Below are 20029 nucleotides of genomic sequence, written 5' to 3'. Positions count from 1 at the left end.
AACAATAAAAAAATAAGTTAAATGGACTGACTTCGAATAGCATAACTACAAATAATAAGGCAAAACTGTTTATTTTCAATACTCCTGCTTTTGAAGAAATCAATGATTGCTTATGTTAAGCTGCAATCGGCACCTTTTTGGAATTTTCTACTTCCCAACTAGTCTGGACATTGAGCCTCTAAAAAAAATGTTTCTTCTATCAATTGCAGGCCATGGAATAAATTTTGGCCGCTCAAGCTATAAATTCTTAAGTGATTTCACATTATAGGTCCTCTCTCATTCATAGTTAGCATTAACAGTGGTGTAATTCACCAAAACAGATATCAGAATAAAATTACTAAGAGAAAGTGTTAAGTTGTTATTATCATAGCATTCCTATTTGAGCCTGAATTGAAAAAGACTGTTTAGCGTAGAAACACTTACGGAATAAGAATCAAGTTTATCCTCTTATTCTAACTAATTTTGGGTCTCAAATCAAATTAATTAACTTCCCTGGGGCTGACCTATAAAATAACAGGAAGAAGTTACAACTGAAAGTAATTCTGAAATATAAGACAAGGTAAAACAATCATGATTCCAAAGCCTGTTTTAAAATTTCAAACTGAATTAATTTTTGGTTTTCTTTGTCTTTCAAGATTCCAAAAATCATGACTAAACAATTCAATCATTCACTTTCCTATTACTAAAAATGGAAAATTGACCTTGATTATAGTATAGACTGAACCTATTATCTTTCAAGAGGGCAAATTTACTAAGCAATAAAAATCAATTGCGGCAGAAAGATGAACCAGAGATAAGAATGGGAAACTGTGCTTTCCTGGTTTTATTAAAACAGGTGATTCATTTGTAAATGTGAAAATCCCTCCCATTTTATAAGTCATCACCTGTAACTGGTGCACAGAAAGTACCCATTTACAGTGCATTTAAATATTAAATACTGTACTCTAGTGAGCCAGAAACAAAAACCAGTCTTCTCAACAAACTGTTTGAAAGGAAATGACAGCACTCTTCTTACTCAAGTTTAAGAACCAACAGCACATGTTATCATGAATAATGAAAACAGCAAGGTAATTGCTGAGGTGTTTCCTATAAATAGCTACACAACAAAAGGCAGTCTTTTTATTAGGAAAAATTCTTTAATTTGCACTGTATTTGTCTACTATAATTATGCACAATCATGCCTAATTAAAGCAGTGGGTCTCAGCCATATACAGTAGTCGCCTTTTATCTGGGGGGCAGTTTAAGATGTGACTGCAAAACTGGCACTAATTTATTTTTTCTTCTTCATGGTCTCATAAATAGAAGAGTCATTCTTACAGTAGATCTTAGCAACCTTGACATATGAATGTTTTTTCCTCCTTATGAGCCAAGAACCTTCACCTTTTCATTTGAAGCACTTTACAAAGCCAGCATCACTACTCTTGCACTTTGGGACCATTATTAAGTCAAATAACAGTGATCTGAATACAAGCACTGTGATACAGAGACAGCTGATCTGATAACCAAGACAGCTGCTAAGTGGCTAGGGCAGGTAGCACAGACAGCATGAATACCCTGGACAAAAAGGATGATTCACATCTCAGGCTAGACGGAACAGGACAGCTCAGGATTTCATCGCGCTACTCTGAATGTAGTGCAATTTAAAACTCAGGATTGGTTTGTTTCTGGAATTTTCCATTTAATATTTTGGATTGTGGGTGACCACAAGTAAGTGAAACGGTGGATAGTGAAATGCAGATGAGGGGGAACTACTGTATTTCTGGCTGTTCAATTCTGCTGTGCCTTGTGAGAGGGACTTTAGAGCATAAGAGAAGCAGCTGACAGGTGATTAACAAATGGTGCTTCTGCCTCCCAGTGCTATAGAAACCTGAGGGACACACAGGGAAATCAGAAGACTAAGTGGAGAAGGGAGAATCACAGACTGGGTTTTGTATTAGGTAGGTTAATATTTTTAATATGTCAAAAACTGCAATTCTGCACCAACTATTGCTTCTTTGTGACACTTATTCTTTACTTCTTTCACAGGATAGCAATTTTTCATATATTTTAGCCATTTTCTTATCCATAACAAAGTTCCATGAGGGAATGCCAAAGTCATTTTGTCAAACTCTATAGGGCTGGCTAGACCTTCACACATAATGAACATTGCCTTTTGTTTGGAAACAATAGCACATGTGGATTGGTGATAGACTCTTGGTGAACAAAGATTTCCTTTCATAAAGTTATCACCAAATCCGGGAAGTCAATAGTACATCCTGCTACTAGAAGATTGGCACTTCATTCTCTGGGAGGCATGGTCAAATCACGTCTTATTTGAGAATAATGATACATTTTGAGAATAACTTATTTTGCTTTTTAACTTATTCTGCTTCGAAGGTGATACTCTATTCTTTTTAGCATTCTTCATGTAAACTTATGCATCATCTAATTTTATTTTTTTCCCTTTAGAAAAAATTATCCAGAAGCTGATACCGTCTGTCTTAATTACCATCTGTTAATTTCCTTACCAAGTTCTGGAGATTAAAAATGGACACTGGAGGAACCTAAAGTTATCTTCCTGATTGTCAGGAAACATCTCAAAATCATCTTCTACCTGTGTGGCATACTCCCTCTGGTCAAGACCATGCGTGACAGAACCTCATTTTTTTTCCTCTCCATGAAATTTTTAAAAACAAAAACAAAAAACCAAAAACTAATGAGGGAATATGCACAATCAGAACGTTAAAAAGGCAGCTGTGTATTCCAAATCTAGAGTAGAGCCTAAAACATAGTAAAGTCTCAATAACTTAGTAAATGATGTAAGAAAACCAATAACTTCAATATTCACTGTATTTGGACATTTGGACAGAAACAACATATAAAAAGTTATGACATAGAGAAGAATAAAGATAATCTCCCTTATTCTATTCTTTAAAGTAGCATTTACAATTTTAAGAAAGAAAATTAGCTACTGAGCTGCCATAAGATATTGAAGTTTTCACATAAGTCCTGATTTGATCCTTACAATAATCTTATTTGGTTAATATTATCCTTGTTTTGCTCATGGAGACAATTGAGTCTATAAAAAACTTTCTTTCTCCCAGGTTGTACTGTTGGTAACTGGCAGAATCATAATGTAAACCCAGGAATTTCACTCAAACTCAGTTCTTTCCAATATCTTATTTATTCAGGCCCAGTAGGTAGGTAATAGGAAAAGTTATGTTGTGATGATGCTCTGAATAATTGTTAATGGAAAAACTGATTGGAAAATAATGAAACTTTACAGACTTATAAAAATTATTTACTTTATACTGCAATTAGAATATAAAATATAAATATCAGTGACCGCCTAAACTTCTCAGCCAGTTTGATTGCAAAATAATTCCCTATTGAAGTATCAGGAGTCCTTTCTTTGTTTACTCAGTATATTGCAGCTAAGGTTGTGCCCCTCACATCCATACAGAGTACTCCATAAATCCCTCCCCACCCAGAGCATGGGCCATGTACAATGACCAGCAAGAGTGTATTTTAAAGGCACCAATAGGACAAATGTATGTTTCACTTTCTGTCTACAAAAAAATCTGCCTCTCCAAAACCACTACAACCCTTCTCCTATGAAATGAGGACCATCTCATTAAGTTCAAAACATCCCTCTTCAATCCAAATGGAGCAAAGCACAGTGGGTGTACTGGATGCTCTCACCCAGGGTTTCATTAGCAGCTTTCACTCTACCTTTGTATATATTATAATTTTCAGTAAGCCCCCAATTGTTCCACTTGCCTGACTGAAACCTTCTCAATCTTGTTATTCTTCAGTGCTATTCTGGGAAAGCATCGTGTCAAGTGGGCAGTTCAAAGGATTGCCAGGTACCAAGGTCAACATGTTCTCAAAAGTCTCTCCTAAGTTTCTTTCCATTATAAAGTTCACTTCAGTTATGAGCTTCAGTAAGACCTTAGATTATGCATGCACCCACACCCACATGCGCACACACACACACACGCACACACACACACGTATATACTTTGTTTCCTAAATGTTTGTTGAGTCTTAGAAGATGTGTTTCAGGTACTTTTCCAGGCAAAGCTGACAAACTTCAGTAAAGAAAACAGAGAGCCCTACCCTTCCATAATATATGAAGAGTGGGGCAAGGTGAAAGAGAATGGGGAGGGTGTAGCTTATAATTTTAAATAGGGTAATTGCCTCACTGAGAAGGGACATTTGAATAAAGATCTCAAAGATGTGAGAAAATTAGCCCTCGGGATATCTGGAGGAAAAATTCAAAGGTCCTATAGTATAGGGATGTGTTGGAATAATAGCAAACAGGCCAGTCTGGCTAATGTATTGCTGAGAGACTGGTAGGAAGAGATTTCAGAGGATAAGCCTGGTTGGGTTACACATTCTTTATCTTTTTTTAATTTAATTTTTGTTTGTCAAATAATAATTATATGTATTTATGGAGTATAATGTAATGTGATATATGTATAAATTGTGGAATGATTAAATCAATCTAATTAACATGTCACCACACATTTATCATTTCTCTGTGTTGGGAACATTTAAAATCTACTCTTTTAGCAATTTTGAAATTTACAATACATTATTATTAACTGTAGTCACCATGCTGTGTAAGATAGCATGACAATTTATGCCTCTTGCCCAACTGAAACATGTTACCCTTTGAGTGACATCTCCTTTTATCCCCGTTCACCTCCATCTTCTGCCACCAGCCTCTGGCAATCACCATTCCACTCTTTATTTCTATGAGCTTGAATTTTTAAAATATTTTACACTGAAGGAGATAGGAAGTCTTTGAAATGCTTTGAGCAGAGGTTTTCCATGATATGACTTACACTTTAAAAGATCACACTGTGTTAAGGACAGACTATAGGAGACAGGAGTAGAAGAATATTTTACTAATTGAAGAGATGGTGGTGGCTTTTTCCCAGCAAGTAGCAATAGAATTAGAACCAAGGGATTTCCTGACAGGTTGGGTGTTAGAGAAATGGAGGGGTCAAGAATAATTTCAAGATGTCCAAGAGGACGTACGTATTTAGTGTCATAGAATAAACATTGTATATCCTACTTTACAATCAATTGCAGTCCATTATAAGTAATGAATGAATTCTATCAGAGAAATTTTACAAATGAAACACACATTTCAAACACAGTTCTTGCTTATTATTGGATATACAGTTCTACAATCTTCGAGTCTTTGTAAATGAATTAATTCTCCTCTAAGAAAGACTGATAGTAATCATATTTATTGAGTGCTCATGATGTACCAGGCATTGTTCCATGTTCTTTGAATTTACTAATATAAATGACCCTCATAAACCTAAAATATAAAAACTATTACTGTGTTATTTCATTCTCACGCTGCTAATAAAGGCATACTCAAGACTGAGTAATTTATAAATAAAAAGATATTTAATGCACTCACACTTCCATATGGCTGGGGAGGCCTCACAATTATGGCAGAAAGCAAAGCAGGAACAAAGTTACGTCCTACATGGCGGCAGGCAAGAAGGCATGGGCAGTGAAACTGCCCTATGTAAAACCATCAGATCTCATGAGACTTATTCATTATCATGAGAACAGCATGGGAAAAAACCCACCCTTATGATTAAATTACCTCCCACCAGCTCCTTCCCATGACATGTGGTGATTATGGGAGGTACAATTCAAGATGAGATGTGGGTGGGGACACAGCCAAACCATATCAATTATGATACTAATTTCACAGAGAACTCAGATAACTTGCCCAAGGTCACATGGCTTATAAGCTGTGGAACTAGCAACTAAACCAAGACAGTCTGGTATGAAGCCTACTGTCTTAACTGCTATGCTGTAGTATTCATTGTAAATAATTGAAATTGCCTAGAAATGTAGAGTATTAGATGAATTTTTTATCCTTATGCTTTACAAATTATTACTGATCAAGTGGATTGGCTCATTGATGTGTCTTTTTCTCAGATTTCCACTAGCATAAATAAATCGTTTATTCTTGCTCCACTTCAGTTCAATGAATTAATGCCAATAAAGAACATAGAACAGTGCCTTGCCTATAGAAAATACTCAGTAAATGCTAGTGTTAAGCTACTATGATATCAGTGATTTTTCATTTTATAACTTATTCATTCAACAACTGTGTTTATGGTTCCAATGTATGGCCAGGCGCTGGGTTTGGCAGTGGAAATATAATGAAAAATACAGCACTGTCTCTGCCTGAAAGAAGTTCATAACATATTACAAGGAGGTGTACTGCTTTCTATTAATACCATGCTCTTATCTCTGTGACCATACCATTTGAATGTATGGGGCTGGCTTCCATTTGCATCTCGTTTCCTGAGGGCCAATTCAGAAGCCATAAAAGATTACTCTTTGTCTGCCTCCTGAGAGGCCAGAAGAATAATTACACACTTACACACACACACACACACACACACACACACTTGCACACACGGTTCTATCTAGAAGTAGCCCTCATCTATTGGCTGAAGTGGGTAAATAAATACTACAGTTTCCTCATCCCCTAGTAGAGAGAATCCTGAGGCTTATATTCTACTATTGTTCAGAGTTTTCCTGCAGGACTAAACTCTAGTTGCCCACAGTAGTATCTGGCTTTACACATTTTGTTGACTTTCTCACTCTCTCACTTTCCCACTCCTCTACAATAGTATCCTTAGCTTACCTACAAAATTACTTACTTGTATTTGAATCATTACCTTTAGGGAGCCCTGCTTCTGAGGGAATCTTAACTACAATAGAGGGAAATAGGCATGTACATAAATAAAAAATCAGACATAGCTATTGCTCCTACAATGGATATCCATATTTGGTATGATGGAGATTTAAAAAAGATAACAACCCAGAAATGTCAATTATCTTGAGAATCTTAGAAGGCAGTGAAGAAGGGAGGGAGCACTCTTGGAAAAGTGGGGAGCTTGAGTATATACAGAGGAGAAAGCTTTTGTTAGTATGTTAGTAATTTCAGCACGGCTGCAACATAATAAGCAGTAGAGGGAGGAAGCCAGAGAGCTAGTCTGGGATACATCAGAGAGAGTCTTCCTTGTCTTGATGAAGAGGTTACACTTAATTTTGTAGACAATGGTGAGTTATTAAGTTAAACTTAATTGGTTTTCTAATCAACTGAGTAAAATTATGACATATAGTTTGCATTTTAGAAAAGTTAAATTTGCAGGAATAGAAAAGAAGGATTATAAGGTTCCCTAGATACATGAAGACAGGCCATCAGAAGAACAGTGCAAAGTATGAGGAAGATATGGGGAAAGCAGCAACCAAGTCAAAGCAAAAATGGAGGCAAGAATAGTGATTACAAATATGTTACTGAGGTATGGTCACTGACTATAGACACTTGGCGAGAAGATACAGTAAGGGAGAATAAAACAACCTGGGTAACTTATTTACCACTTGTTTTCATAACTGGGTATGTACATGTGCCATTCTCAAACATGGCAGAAACTGCAGATGAAATAGGCATTGATTTATGGAATAGGAAAGAGAAGCTAAACGATAAGGAATTCCGTTTTGAAGATGTTGACATTGAAGTATCTCTAGGACATCAGGGAATTGTTCAGTAGTAACGTGGTAAAAAGAGATAGAGATCTGGAGGTTTTCTAATGTAAGTATATATCAATCATCTGTTACTACACAACCACTTTAAACTTAGTAGTTTAACACAGCAAAGATTTTCCAATTCTATGAAGTGTCTAGGAAGTTATTTCCCTTGTTTACTTGGACTCATCTCTGTAGCTTTATCCAGCCTGGCAGAACTGGGAAGTATAAAATGGCCTCAATCATAGGTCAGGGGGCTTGGACTGGGTCATCTTTTCCATGTGGCCTTGCATCTTCCAGACTAGCTTCCTCATATGGTGAACTCGGACTCAAGGTGGAATCCCAAGAAGCAAAAGCAGAAGCCACTATGTCTCTTCAGGCCAAGGCTCAGGACCATGTGCAATGCCACAACTGCCACGTTTTAATGGTTTAAGCAAGTCAAAAGGCCAGACAAGAGTCAAGGGGCTGATGGCTCAACATTACATTTTAAACAGGCATCAACCGAGAAAGATGTGACTTAGTCAATGCCATGATTATAACAGACAACTCCAAAAGAGTTTTGAAATCTTGAGAGTATCAGCTTTGTAAGTAGGAACCAAATCAAATTTAGTAGTGGATCAGGAGCCAAATAAGATCTTTAGAAAGAAGTGATAGAAAGAATGCAAACAAAGAGAAGGGCCAAGGAAGCCAAGGGTGAAAAGCCTTTCAAAAAGACAAAAGTATTTAACACATCAAAAATCTTAGAAAAAGCTAGTAATAAGACCAAAAAATAAATAATTAGAATATGTTATAACTAATTATATAAAAATATTAATTGAATTTATAAGTTAGCATAGAAAATATGTTTAAGTACTTAATGTCTTATGAATGTGAGAAGACAGATTTTAAAATGTTCATACATATTTGTGGTATGATAATTATAAAAATGTGTTATGTATAGACTTGGATGAAAATCTTTGAATGTCATGGAACAAATATCAGCTCAAAGAGTAAAAAGGAAAGGTATACATTTTTCAAATGTTAAAAAAGAGCAGGCTTATTTTTTAATCTTGGAAAGGGGTATCAAATAATTATGATTTTCAGAATGCTATAACATTTTTACTAGACGGGAGTTACCACATGCTAGAATCAGCAGCCTTTACAACTCTATAAAATTTATTTAGTTATTTATCTCCTTCTAAAAATTGTATATACATTTATAGGGTACAAGTGCAATTTTTTTACATGCATAGATTGCACAGTGGTAAGACTAGGCAATTTACAGCATCCATCACCTGAATAATGTACATTGGACCCATTAAGAAATTTCGACTTACAATGAAAAATTTAGATGACAAGTTAAACATGGGTGAAGAGGTACATAATTTTCCAAACTCTTTTAGTGAGTATGGAATCCAAGTTTAAAGTCCACCAGTCTGTATTGCGTGCTTTATGCCTTTTTTTCTTGAGGGCACTTTTTTAGTTTGTACTCTGGAGTTCATTTTTATGGTATTTGAAAAACACTATTTTCCACTGGTTGGTATGTTTCATGAAAGCAGGGATGATGCTAACTTTCGTTCACCAGTATATCCCTAGCAACCTGTGCAATGTCTAGCCTATCACAGATATACAGTATATGTCTACAGCTTAAATTATTTACTCAGCTTAATTCCAGGCAAAATTAATACATGTCTCATCACTCTTACCACCACATTGGAATCTCTGCCTCTTTCTCCTTGATATTCTTTTATACCTATAAGTCCTGCTGAATAAAACAGTGCTGCCTGTGGAAATTCATATTATCTTATATATTATAACTCTTGTAATCTAGTCATTCTTTTAGTAATACTAAATGATTAGCCCTATATTACTATTATTATGTTTAGAGATGACTTACTGTGCAACTAGAATATGCACTACAATATAAATTTGTATACTTGTTATAAACTGAACCTACTACTTAAAGCCAGAGCTCCTTCCATCTTGGAAGTTTTCACATGTTTGATGTTTTTTAGCTTTTCTATATTTTAAAAATCAGAATAATTTCCTCCTCACTTTCATTCCTACAAAACTAAATCATTAGTCCTGTTAGACAGGAGTTACTAACCAGAATTATAACAGTCAACAATGGAAGACAAAGTGAATAGTGGTTTTGAGTAACAACCCATGCTTTCATTAAATAAACATGTTCTCTGCATTATTGTCAAAAGGAAAATTTATTGAAAAGATGTCTATGTGCATTCCTGGATTAATTGTAATGAAACAGTAACTAATAATTCTACCTATATGGTATTGCAAATATGTAAGCTAAATTCATCACATGAGCATGTGGCACTGGCTTTAAGACCTATAGACAAGTCTCACTGTTTCAATGTCAGTTTATGATTTATAGATTATATTTTTAAAAAAATTACTAGAAATACAGACAGCTACTAAGGGTGAAAGAACTGAAAGGTAAATACATTAAGGTTACATTTACTTCCACCACAGAATTCTAATAACATTTGCACAAAGATAATAGGCATGTTCAATGAAATAATGAAATAAGTAAACTTGTTGTCGTTACTGCTGTTGTGAAAAATATTGTCTCTATTAGCATCTACTATTAGGAAAAAAATCTATGTCAAAGTGTCTTCATTTAGCAACAAAAACAAAAAGTCTCTAGTACTTTTCTGGCAGGAGAAAAACATTGTAATTTTGATAGCTCTTGCCAATAGCAGTAGGAATAACTAAATGCAGATAACTTAAAGTTTGATACCTAAGTTTGCAGACCACTTTATTAAATAAAGCAGACATATGCACAGCTTTTTAGCAGGTACTTAAAAGTCCTGAAAGCTAATGGTTAAAGAATTTTTAGCCAGGGATACATATTGCCACATGCTTAAGACAAGATTTTAACATATGTCAGATGAACCCTATCTTCTTCTGTAAATACATCATTTCAAAAGAATCATGTAATAGTTAAATGAAAGCAGTAGTATTATTAAAGAAAGTAATAGTTACAGTAAATAGTTTAATCAATCAGAAATAGTTATACATAAGCAGGTCTATTTTAAAAGTTATTTCTTCTAGATGATAATGGATTAGACCAGGGGAATCCAATCTTTTGGTTTCCCTAGGCCACATTGGAAGAATTGTCATGGACCACACATAAAATACACTAACACTAACAATACCTGATGAGCTAAAAAAAAATCACAAAAAAAGTCTCAGAATGTTTTAAGAAAGTTTATGAATTTGTATTGGGCCACATTCAAAGCTGTCCTGGGCCACAGATTTGACAAGATCAGATTAGACTTTTATTTCAAGGCAATACTATTACCTCCTGTCAGCCTTCTGATGGAAAAAAGGGTTCATGGCTCCATTAAGTCAAAAGAACATGTACCCTTAGCGAATTTATCTCCATTTTGGTAGAGAACAAAAAAGGAGTGTTAATTCTAATACCAGAATTAGAGCTTGGAATTCAGAGGGAAGTGAGATAGACCAGAGCTAGAAATGAGAGAATCTGGAATGGTCATGCTCATCGGGAAGACCATGTTCATCAAGGAGAAGATATCCTTGTCTTCTTCTTGACAAAGACAATTTTGAATGTGGCCCAACAAAAATTCGTAAACTTTCTTAAAACATTATGAGATTTTTTTTTTTTTTTGCATTGGTTTTAGCTCATCAGCTATTGTTAGTGTTCGTGTATTTTATGTTTGGCCCAAGACAATTCTTCTTCCAATCTGGCCCAGGGAAGACATTGTCATTATGCAAGAAAGCACAGCAGGGCAGGGAATAACAATGGTCAAGGCACGATAATAAAATGGCAGCCAATCAGGCCAATGTTGCAATTAAAAGGACTCAAGCCACAATCATGGAATGCAGAACACGGGATGTGGCATAAGAGTGTCTAAAACTAGCTAAGCTTCCACTCTAAGCTTTAGCAGGTGGGCTCTAATATGACTAGTGTTTTTATTAAAAAGGTAAATTTGGAGAGAGACAACCACATAAGGAGATTGTGAGGATTGGAATTGCTGCCACATGCCAAAGTAACTATGAGATGTTAAGAGAGAGGCCTGGAATATATCATTCCCTAGAGCCTTCAGAGGCAGGAAGGCCCTGCCAATACCTTGATCTTGGACCTCTAGCCTTCAGAAATCTGAGACAATAAATTGCTGTTGGTTAAGCCACCCAGTTTGTGGCCCTCTGTTATGGCAGGCCTGGGAAACTAATACACTAACGTATCATTCTTCCAAATCCAGATTCACATTGGCAAGATATTCCTCATAAACCTAAGGAAAAAATTAAATTCTTATATATTCCTATATATACATGAAAAGAATGAAAAAGACAGGTTGGCTTTGGTTTTACATTCCATTGCTATCTACGAGTGCCTTGGTTGTTCCTTGTAGAGTACAAGAGCTGCAAGCCTTTTATGTAGTATTGCTCTATAACATGTAACACTGTCTTAAGCAAACATTCATTTGTGGCAAGTCAATATCACAAATGAAATATTGTCTGAAGAAAAAGGAAAATCGATAACCACCTTTAGGGTCATTAAATTTTGATAAGGGTTTTCTGCAAACATCAGTATACTAGCAAACGGATTGTATGTTTCTCTCTTTCTTTCTATTTAATGAAATCTGTCTAGGAACCCACTTGAGCTCATTCATGTGAGCACGTGCGTGCACATGCACACAAACACACACACACATACATTTTTACAGAATCATCAGTGGCCTCCTTGAAGAATTTGTTGTTGGTGGTTTTATTTTAAATAGCTGTATTAACAAATATCAGCCTTGCCATTAGAAGGAAAAGAATAGTAAGCCAATGAGGTATCTGCATGTGCTCCAATGTCTGGACAGGTGGTTGTAAAATTAGAATAGAGTAATCATCTAAAAAGGACGGACAAGATTTAAAATACTCACTTTTTGTATTTGAAAATATGTTGCTATTTTTAAAAAAGAGGAGGAGAAAATACTTTAGAATAATATGCAAGGGAAAGAACTCAGCATGAAAATGAGAACAACTACAAAAAGTGTCCTTAAAAAAGGTAGGCAGCTCACTTTCCCATAGGGTTTAGGCCAGTAGCCTAAAAAGTAACCACTTTTTGACCATATTCAAATAATTTCAATTGTTTTCCATTTTATTAAGAAGTAAACTTAATTCATTTCTAGTCATAGAAAATTACAAATTATGTTTTATACATTTATTTGGTTGCTCCTGTGTTAAAAAAAATCTAGGGCTCCCAAATATTTCCCTTATATTTTTGGTGTCATTAACTTGGCAATACATTACTGTTGACTACATTCCACTAAATGGTTGATTAACATTCTTTGAAAAAATAGGCTAATGATGATTTGAATGTCCTGGGCCAGTAATTCCCAAACTTTTTGTTTATGTACACTTCCAAATATGTGCATGCTAGTGCAACAGCAAGGATACATTTTTCAGAACTGAGAATGCACTGAGCAAATAAGTTGTTAAAGGATAGCCTCTATGAAAATATGTGGCATAACAGGCATTGTTCTTTAGCAAAGATTCTTCTACTTTCTGTGTCCTGAGTTCCTAGTAGGCCCAGACAACACCGCTTGCTGACAATGTCCTTAAAAATGTTTGTAAATCTCTCCTACCTAGTGATTTGTTTATGAGGTCCATTATAACACCAAACGCTTCCACTTATGGAACATTTCCTTCAAAGTACATCCAGGTACCTAAACATTTTAATGTCTAGCATAATACTCTTTTTCTTTGTGCCTTCAGGGAAGAGTCAGCCCTGTCACTTGTAAATATTTTATCAATCATTATGAGATGAAACACTCACCAAAATATAAATGAAGAGGCCACAGTTCAGTAAACAGCAAGCCATACAGGACATGAACAGTGCAGTGGTATAAAATCTCTTTGCGTTCATCTACACTTTCAAATGTGTGCATACCCATCCAAAGAAGATGCCTTTTTGGAAATAAGAATAAAATAAACTTAGATTTGGGGTGGGATGATTATTTTCCAAAATTTTAGCAGTGAAGGGAACTAATATCTACAAGTAGAGTGTTTAACACCCAGATGCATAAAATATCCTTGGCTAAAGCATTTCGTAGCTCTCAGATCATGAGGAAAACATAAGATTACAGTGTACTCTAATGGGCCATTTAAAGACAGAAAGCATTATAGCATATCATTGCTTCATGGACCCATTAAAACGGGTATAAATGACCAATATTTTTAATAGCACTCTTGATGAATTTAAAGTTCAGAACAATACTAAAGTCAGCAACAATTACAATTCAAATGATATTGTACCAAAAGAACTTCTTATGGTTTCTATTTAAGCAGTTATACTGTTTTCTTTGTTTCCCTTCAGCAAGGAACTGTTCTTTTCTATTCTCTCAAGGAAAAGGTCTTTCAGGTTCCAGTAGACACAAGATTGTTTCACTTTCTTCTTACTCATTGTAAGTTGTGCCATTCTTTTACCACAACATATAACCTGCTTGGCAAAATGTTTCATCTGAAAAAACGTCAGCCATGGTATAAGTATACCAAGTTGCAGGGAAAATAAACTTGCTTACAATTTGCTTACAGTTGTAAAAATTTGCTTACAGCTGTAACAATTTGCTTAAAATTTAATAGTATAATGATATTGGGCTAAAAAACTCAAATAATGAGTTAGAAAATAATTCTCTAGGGACTAAAGAAAAAAAAGCATCATAGAAAAAGTTCTTGAAAGGAAATAGCAAGATAAGACTAGAGAGGATTACAAAGACAGTTATATATTAGATCTGTTCAGAATCCTTTTTTTTATTGTTTCATAACTTTTCTTCATGAAAAATTACTACACAGAGAGGTTATATGGGGATATATTCTATGAAAACACAGAAATATTTTATTAAGAGTTAATACATAATGGATATAACCACAACTCTTTCAAAAATCATTGGGTACCTAAAATCATGTTCATTTGAAAAATCATAGATTGTTGTGATACTTAAGAATGAAATTTTGATATCTTATAAAACATCATACCCTAAAGAAAAATCTTTAGCCCTAAAGTATTTCAACCAAGAATAATTGTAGTCTCTTCTAATTACTATTACAAATTATCTGAATGTTCTTTAGATGACACCAGCATCTCAGTCATTATGTGCCTTTAATAAAAAGTCAGACACCTTCCTCAGAGTGCAGCAGAAAAAAAACAAAAGGAATAAAATGACTTGCCTAACTAAAAGTTTTGTAAAAGTTGATTTAACAGTTAACCTAAATTAATAGCTGTGGTCAATTTGTATCTCTGTTACTTGGAAAATGGCATGCTTACACTTCATTGTGAGAACAGTGGAACATTAAAATATTTCTAAAACATTGAAATATAGTAAAATGTTGACAAATATTTTAGAATTAGACAATCATCTTGATTTTTTTCTTTCCAGCTTTGAATGAACCAAGTTTCAGACTTCCTTAAAGAATATACTCATGAATAAAGAATTAACGTGTTTAGGTATTAAGATGAGGAGCTTCTGCTTACAGATGACACTTTTACTATTGGTATATGCTAGTAAAAGGGAAGCTGACAAGTATAGAGGTTTAAAAAGAATCACTGAGGAAAACATTTGCTATTTACTTTCTTATGCTTTCAAAAAGCAAATGCTTAAAAACAAGCAGAATGTACTAATTCTTTATATTTTTTTCAGAAGAAGAATCTGTTTTAGAGAAAGCCAAAGCAAACCAAAACAAAAAGCTAAAGCAATTTAAGTCTTCAAATATGATCCAAGCATTTGAAACAAATAAACATATGAGGATTTTTTCTTCTCATGCCTTCACCTTTTCCTACTACTCTGGAAGGAAGTATTAATGTAGCTGATAACTCTTAAATTTGACTTCTCTATGAAACAAAGAAAAGAAAAAGTAATCATATATGAAAGGTTGGCAATGATGTTCATGAAAAAAATTTCTGTTATGGATTTTTTTCGTATACACACACACACACACACACACACACACACACACACAAACACACTGATATGGTTTGGTTGTGTCCCCACCCAAACAAATCTCATCTTGAATTGTAGCTCCCATAATTCCCATGTGTTATGAGAGGGACCTGGTGGGAGATAACTGAATCATGGGGGCATGTTCTCCCATGCTGTTCTCGTGATAGTGAGGGGGGGTCTCACAAGATCTGACGGTTTTATAAATGGCAGTTCCCCTGAACACGCTCTTCTGCCTGCTGCCGTGTAAGAGGCGCCTTGCTCCTCCTTCGCCTTCTGCCATGATTGTGAGGCCTCCCCAGTCATGTGGAACTATGAGTCCATTGAACCTCTTTTTCTTTATAAATTACCCACTCTTGGGTAGGTATTTATTAGCAGCATGAGAACAGACTAATACACACATGCACACACACACACACACATACATACACACTGACAAAAACAGAAAATAATTCAATTGGTCTACTTTCAAATAATTTATGAGCAGAAGACCAAAAATAAATGAAATGTATGAATCAATCATTAATTACAGTGTGGGAAGTATTTTACACAATGTCCAAAATATTGATTACATTTTATAGCCTTTCCTATGTAATGTTGTCTCAAGTTATTTGTGTTTTCATGCTTTACAATTAATTCCAAGTTGAGACATGCAAAGATACATATTTTATAAAAAAAATTTCTGCACCTTACAATTGCAAATAATGGCTTTTGAACTTTTCTACAAATATTTTGCATACCAAATGGATCCCATTTACTGTTATAGTCATTTTATTTTGGTTACAGGAATGTTCAGGGGCTTCAATTGTAAAATTCTTTTTTTTGCATTTTATAAAATGAATGAAATGTTAAATTGTGATAGCCTTTTTTACAAGTAAAAACAAACTTTTGAATGATTCTATAAACAATCTAATAACTTGAAAAGAAGTAATTTGATCATGAAAAATAAGACATACACTGAGATAGAAATCATATGAGCTGTCTGTTAATTTTTTCTTAGGGAGAATGAAAAGATTCAAATTATTCCTATGTGTTTGAGGTTTCAGATGTTTTATATAGCATTAAAGGTAAATCAAGCATGATGCCTGGCTGTGACAAAGAAAAATAATCTAGTTTAAAAGGAAGAGGGTGAGAAAATTTTGCCCTGCTTTCTACGGAAATAAGAAAAACATATGATTCACCATATAATTGAATTTTCTACTTTAGTATTAGTTCTAGAAGATATTTAATTTAAGTAACATTCTTTTAATATCTCCCTAATCACTTAGAAGGCATACGTAGTTTTATAAATGAAAACAATAAAATAATAAATACATATGTTTCCATTAACATTCGGGGATTGTATTGTGATTCATTCATAGTGTTAACAGTGTGTCCAAGTAAGCATCTGAAACAATATATGCTACTAATTAAAGGACAGTATATCCTGTGGTGTGAACTCTGCGATCTAATTAAATTCTGGCTGCCCTCCATTATAAAAGAGGAACGTATGTGATGTGTGAAAATGTGCAAATTAAAGTAGATTACTAAGTCCTGGAACTAATATTGGGTCGCTAAGGTAAGATATTTTTGATGATCTCAGTGTATAAAATGATGAGTCAAGGGATAAACCTCACAGACTATAGACATGCATATTATGGCAGATAATTTAAATTAGCCTGACAAAGTTAACTAATGTATCAAAAAATAACTCAATAGAAAGGAAAATTTAAGGCAATTGCCTTGCATTCTTATTAAACCTAATATTTACCAAATTAAACCTTTCCTTTAAATGTAAATAAACATAATACTAAAATTATAGATTTTTTTGTGGTTTTGTTATCTTTTAAACAGTTCTATTTAATCAACTAGCTTTCAATAAAATTTTGAATTTCATTTTAATTCACTATTTCCAGAGAGTTGCCATCAATAAAAGTTTTTTAGAACATTAAGGATTTTGAAATATGCAATTTAGTCGGCAAGATCACTAGTAAATTTTTCCTTCAGTTAAAATAGCAAAAGATGGTTTAATATAGAATGCAATTGACTCAGGAAGGGTGCTACCACAATATTTATAAGGGAACATTTTTTCTTTCCCTTAAGGCTTTTCTCAACAAATGTGTGAATAATATATATTATTTAATTAACAGACTATATTTTCAGATCTGTATTAGACTCTATATATCCTCCCACCCTGCTCCACAGTTTCCCTTATTAACTGTTTATATTTACATGATACAATTTTTATTTTATCCTGGGTAGTTAGTTTTAGTTTTGTTGTTTTGTTGTTGTTGTTTGTTTGTTTTTGGAGACAGGATCTCAGTCCATTGTCCAGGTTGGAGCGCAGTGGCAGGATCACAGCTCACTGCAACCTTGACCTCCCAGACTCAGGTGATCCTCCCACCTCAGCATCTCCAGTAACCTGGATTACAGGCATGCACCACTGCACCTAGCTAATTATTATTATTATTATTCTTTTTGTAGAGATGGGGTCTTGCTATGTTGCCAAGGCCGGTCTTGAACTCCTGGACTCAAGTGATCCTCCCACTTCAGCCTCCCAAAGTGCTGGGATTACAAGTGTGAACAACTGTGCCTGGCCTATATGGTACAATTTTTAGAAGTAAGGAACCAACATTGATTCATTACTAGTAACTAAAGTTCATAATTTATTTAGATTTCCTTACTTTTTGCCTATGTTCCAGTATTCCATCCAAAATACTACATTACATTTACTTGTCAGGTTTCCTTAGGCTCTTTGTGGCTGTGACATGGATTTTTTAGAAAATTCTTTAATATAAGATTGGCTTAACACCCACCATCATGTATCCCTGAGGCAATAGCAATGACTGAACTTATCAATTTAACTTCATAAGACTGCTTTCAGGTAGGCATTTTGAAAGTCCCTAATAAATCACTTGTATCTTGTCATGCATCAGGTGACTGGGCATCATTCTTAACATGAACTAGACTACTGGGATCATTTTATGTCCTCCCACAACATCTGGCATGACTGACAGTACTTACTTCAAACTTTTTTATTGATAAATTTATGGCTATTTATTCAAGTGGTCATTACTGAGTGATTGCTAAGTGCTAGACACTCTTGTGGCATTGAATATACGGTGATGAGTAAACCAGAAAAAGTCCTTGTTGTCATTGAGTTTATACCCTAGTTAGGGCAAAACGTCAAAAATTAGATAATTTAATAACATAATTTCAGATATTGATAAATGCTGTGAAAAAATAAACTATAAAATTTGCACCGATTTACAAATGACAAAAAAAAAAAAGATCTAGGGGAAAAAAATTACAGGCATAGAGAATAGCAGATATAAAGTTTTAAGGGATAAGAAAGTTTAGGAATCAGTCTAGTGTGGAAGGATGTGATGGCAGAGAAAAGGGAAAGTGGCTGGAAGTCAGAGAAGTAATAAAGGCCACACTAGAATAATAAGGCCTTTTAAGCCATGGTGAGAAGTTTGGATTTATATCACAATAAATAAGCCATAGGAGAATTTCAAATAGAGAGAGTTTATGTAGAAGGCTTATCTGATCTGATTTATGTTTTAAAAATATAATGCCCCTGTCCTGTGAAGATTTGATCTGGAGGAAACCAAGAGTCAAAAATAGATGATCAGTCAAGAAGTGATTATAGAAAAAAAATGGTTTTGCCTTGGATGAAAGTAGATGCAGTAGAAATAAACAGAAGTGGAAGGACTGAGAATGTCTTTTGAAAGTAGAGCTAACAAGATTTGCTGCTTAAAACAACGTTGCAGTGAAGAGAAAAAGAGGAACCAGAGAGTTTTCCTAGATCTCTTGGCGTGAAAACAGGTAGCTATTTACCAAGGCAAACCATGCAGAGGAATATATTCAAAGGTCAGAAGTGAGGATTTTATTTTGACCACCATGCATTTTAGATGATTGCATCTAAATGCAAATGAAGATATCAGTGTGGCAGTTCAATATATGCCTAGAGTTTGGGAAGAGGTCAGTACTGGTGATTCAAATTTGATTTTCACAGGGACATTATTGTCCTTTGTTGGAACTGAGTTATTATTAAGCAATATGTGTCAGAGCACCATTTAAGAAAGAAATAAACAAGGGAAAAAGGAAATAAACGAAGGAAGGAAGGAAGGAAAGAAGGAAAGAAGAAAGGAAGGAAGGACATAGAGTAACTGAGTAATTGAATCCAGCTCCAAGAAACAAGCAAAAGAGAAAAATCAATGAGAAGAAAGTGGTCCATTTTGACCTCATTGATTTTCACCATTCACAGAGCCCTGTTTGCCTCATCATTGTTGGTGGCTTAATTTACTTTCTATTTCTTTTTGTTGTGGTGGTGGATGTGCTACGATCTAAACCTTGGTGCTTTGTTTTAAAATGATTCTTATCCATTGGTGAATGTGACTTTCTCTAAAAAGTAGCAACCCGAAAAGTGAAGATAACTGCCATTAAAGGACATAGGTTTGCATAGAGAAAAACATATCAGTTGTTAAACCACAAGGGAGCACAAAGTTCTTACTTAATATATCCCTCTGTTCTATTTTGTACATATA

The 20029-nt window shown here is 34.6% G+C and overlaps 1 protein-coding gene and 1 long non-coding RNA gene across 11 annotated transcripts in view; one reads left to right on the top strand and one right to left on the bottom strand.

Moving 5' to 3' along the window:
- The window catches only part of CCSER1 (coiled-coil serine rich protein 1), a 1477902-nt gene that overhangs the window by 283714 nt on the left and 1174159 nt on the right, over positions 1-20029 (bottom strand). Inside the window, exon 12 of one of the 9 annotated variants that reach the window (XM_011531943.3) lies at positions 13341-13473. The exons of the other annotated variants lie outside the window; for them this stretch is intronic. Within the exon in view, the coding sequence (XP_011530245.1) occupies positions 13441-13473 (33 nt within the window). The 3' untranslated portion in view covers positions 13341-13440. Of the gene's footprint in view, positions 1-13340; positions 13474-20029 lie in introns of those variants that run through there. 9 annotated transcript variants of the gene reach the window in all.
- The window catches only part of LOC124900733 (uncharacterized), a 56617-nt gene that overhangs the window by 3620 nt on the left and 32968 nt on the right, over positions 1-20029 (top strand). For both annotated transcript variants that reach the window (XR_007058191.1, XR_007058190.1), the window contains exon 2: positions 1856-18099. This is a non-coding gene — a long non-coding RNA (uncharacterized LOC124900733). The remainder of the gene's footprint in view (positions 1-1855; positions 18100-20029) is intronic.

Source organism: Homo sapiens, chromosome 4 (assembly GCF_000001405.40).
Source record: "Homo sapiens chromosome 4, GRCh38.p14 Primary Assembly".
In the NCBI taxonomy this organism is placed as follows: domain Eukaryota; kingdom Metazoa; phylum Chordata; class Mammalia; order Primates; family Hominidae; genus Homo; species Homo sapiens.
This window is presented reverse-complemented; position numbering and strand designations above follow the sequence as displayed.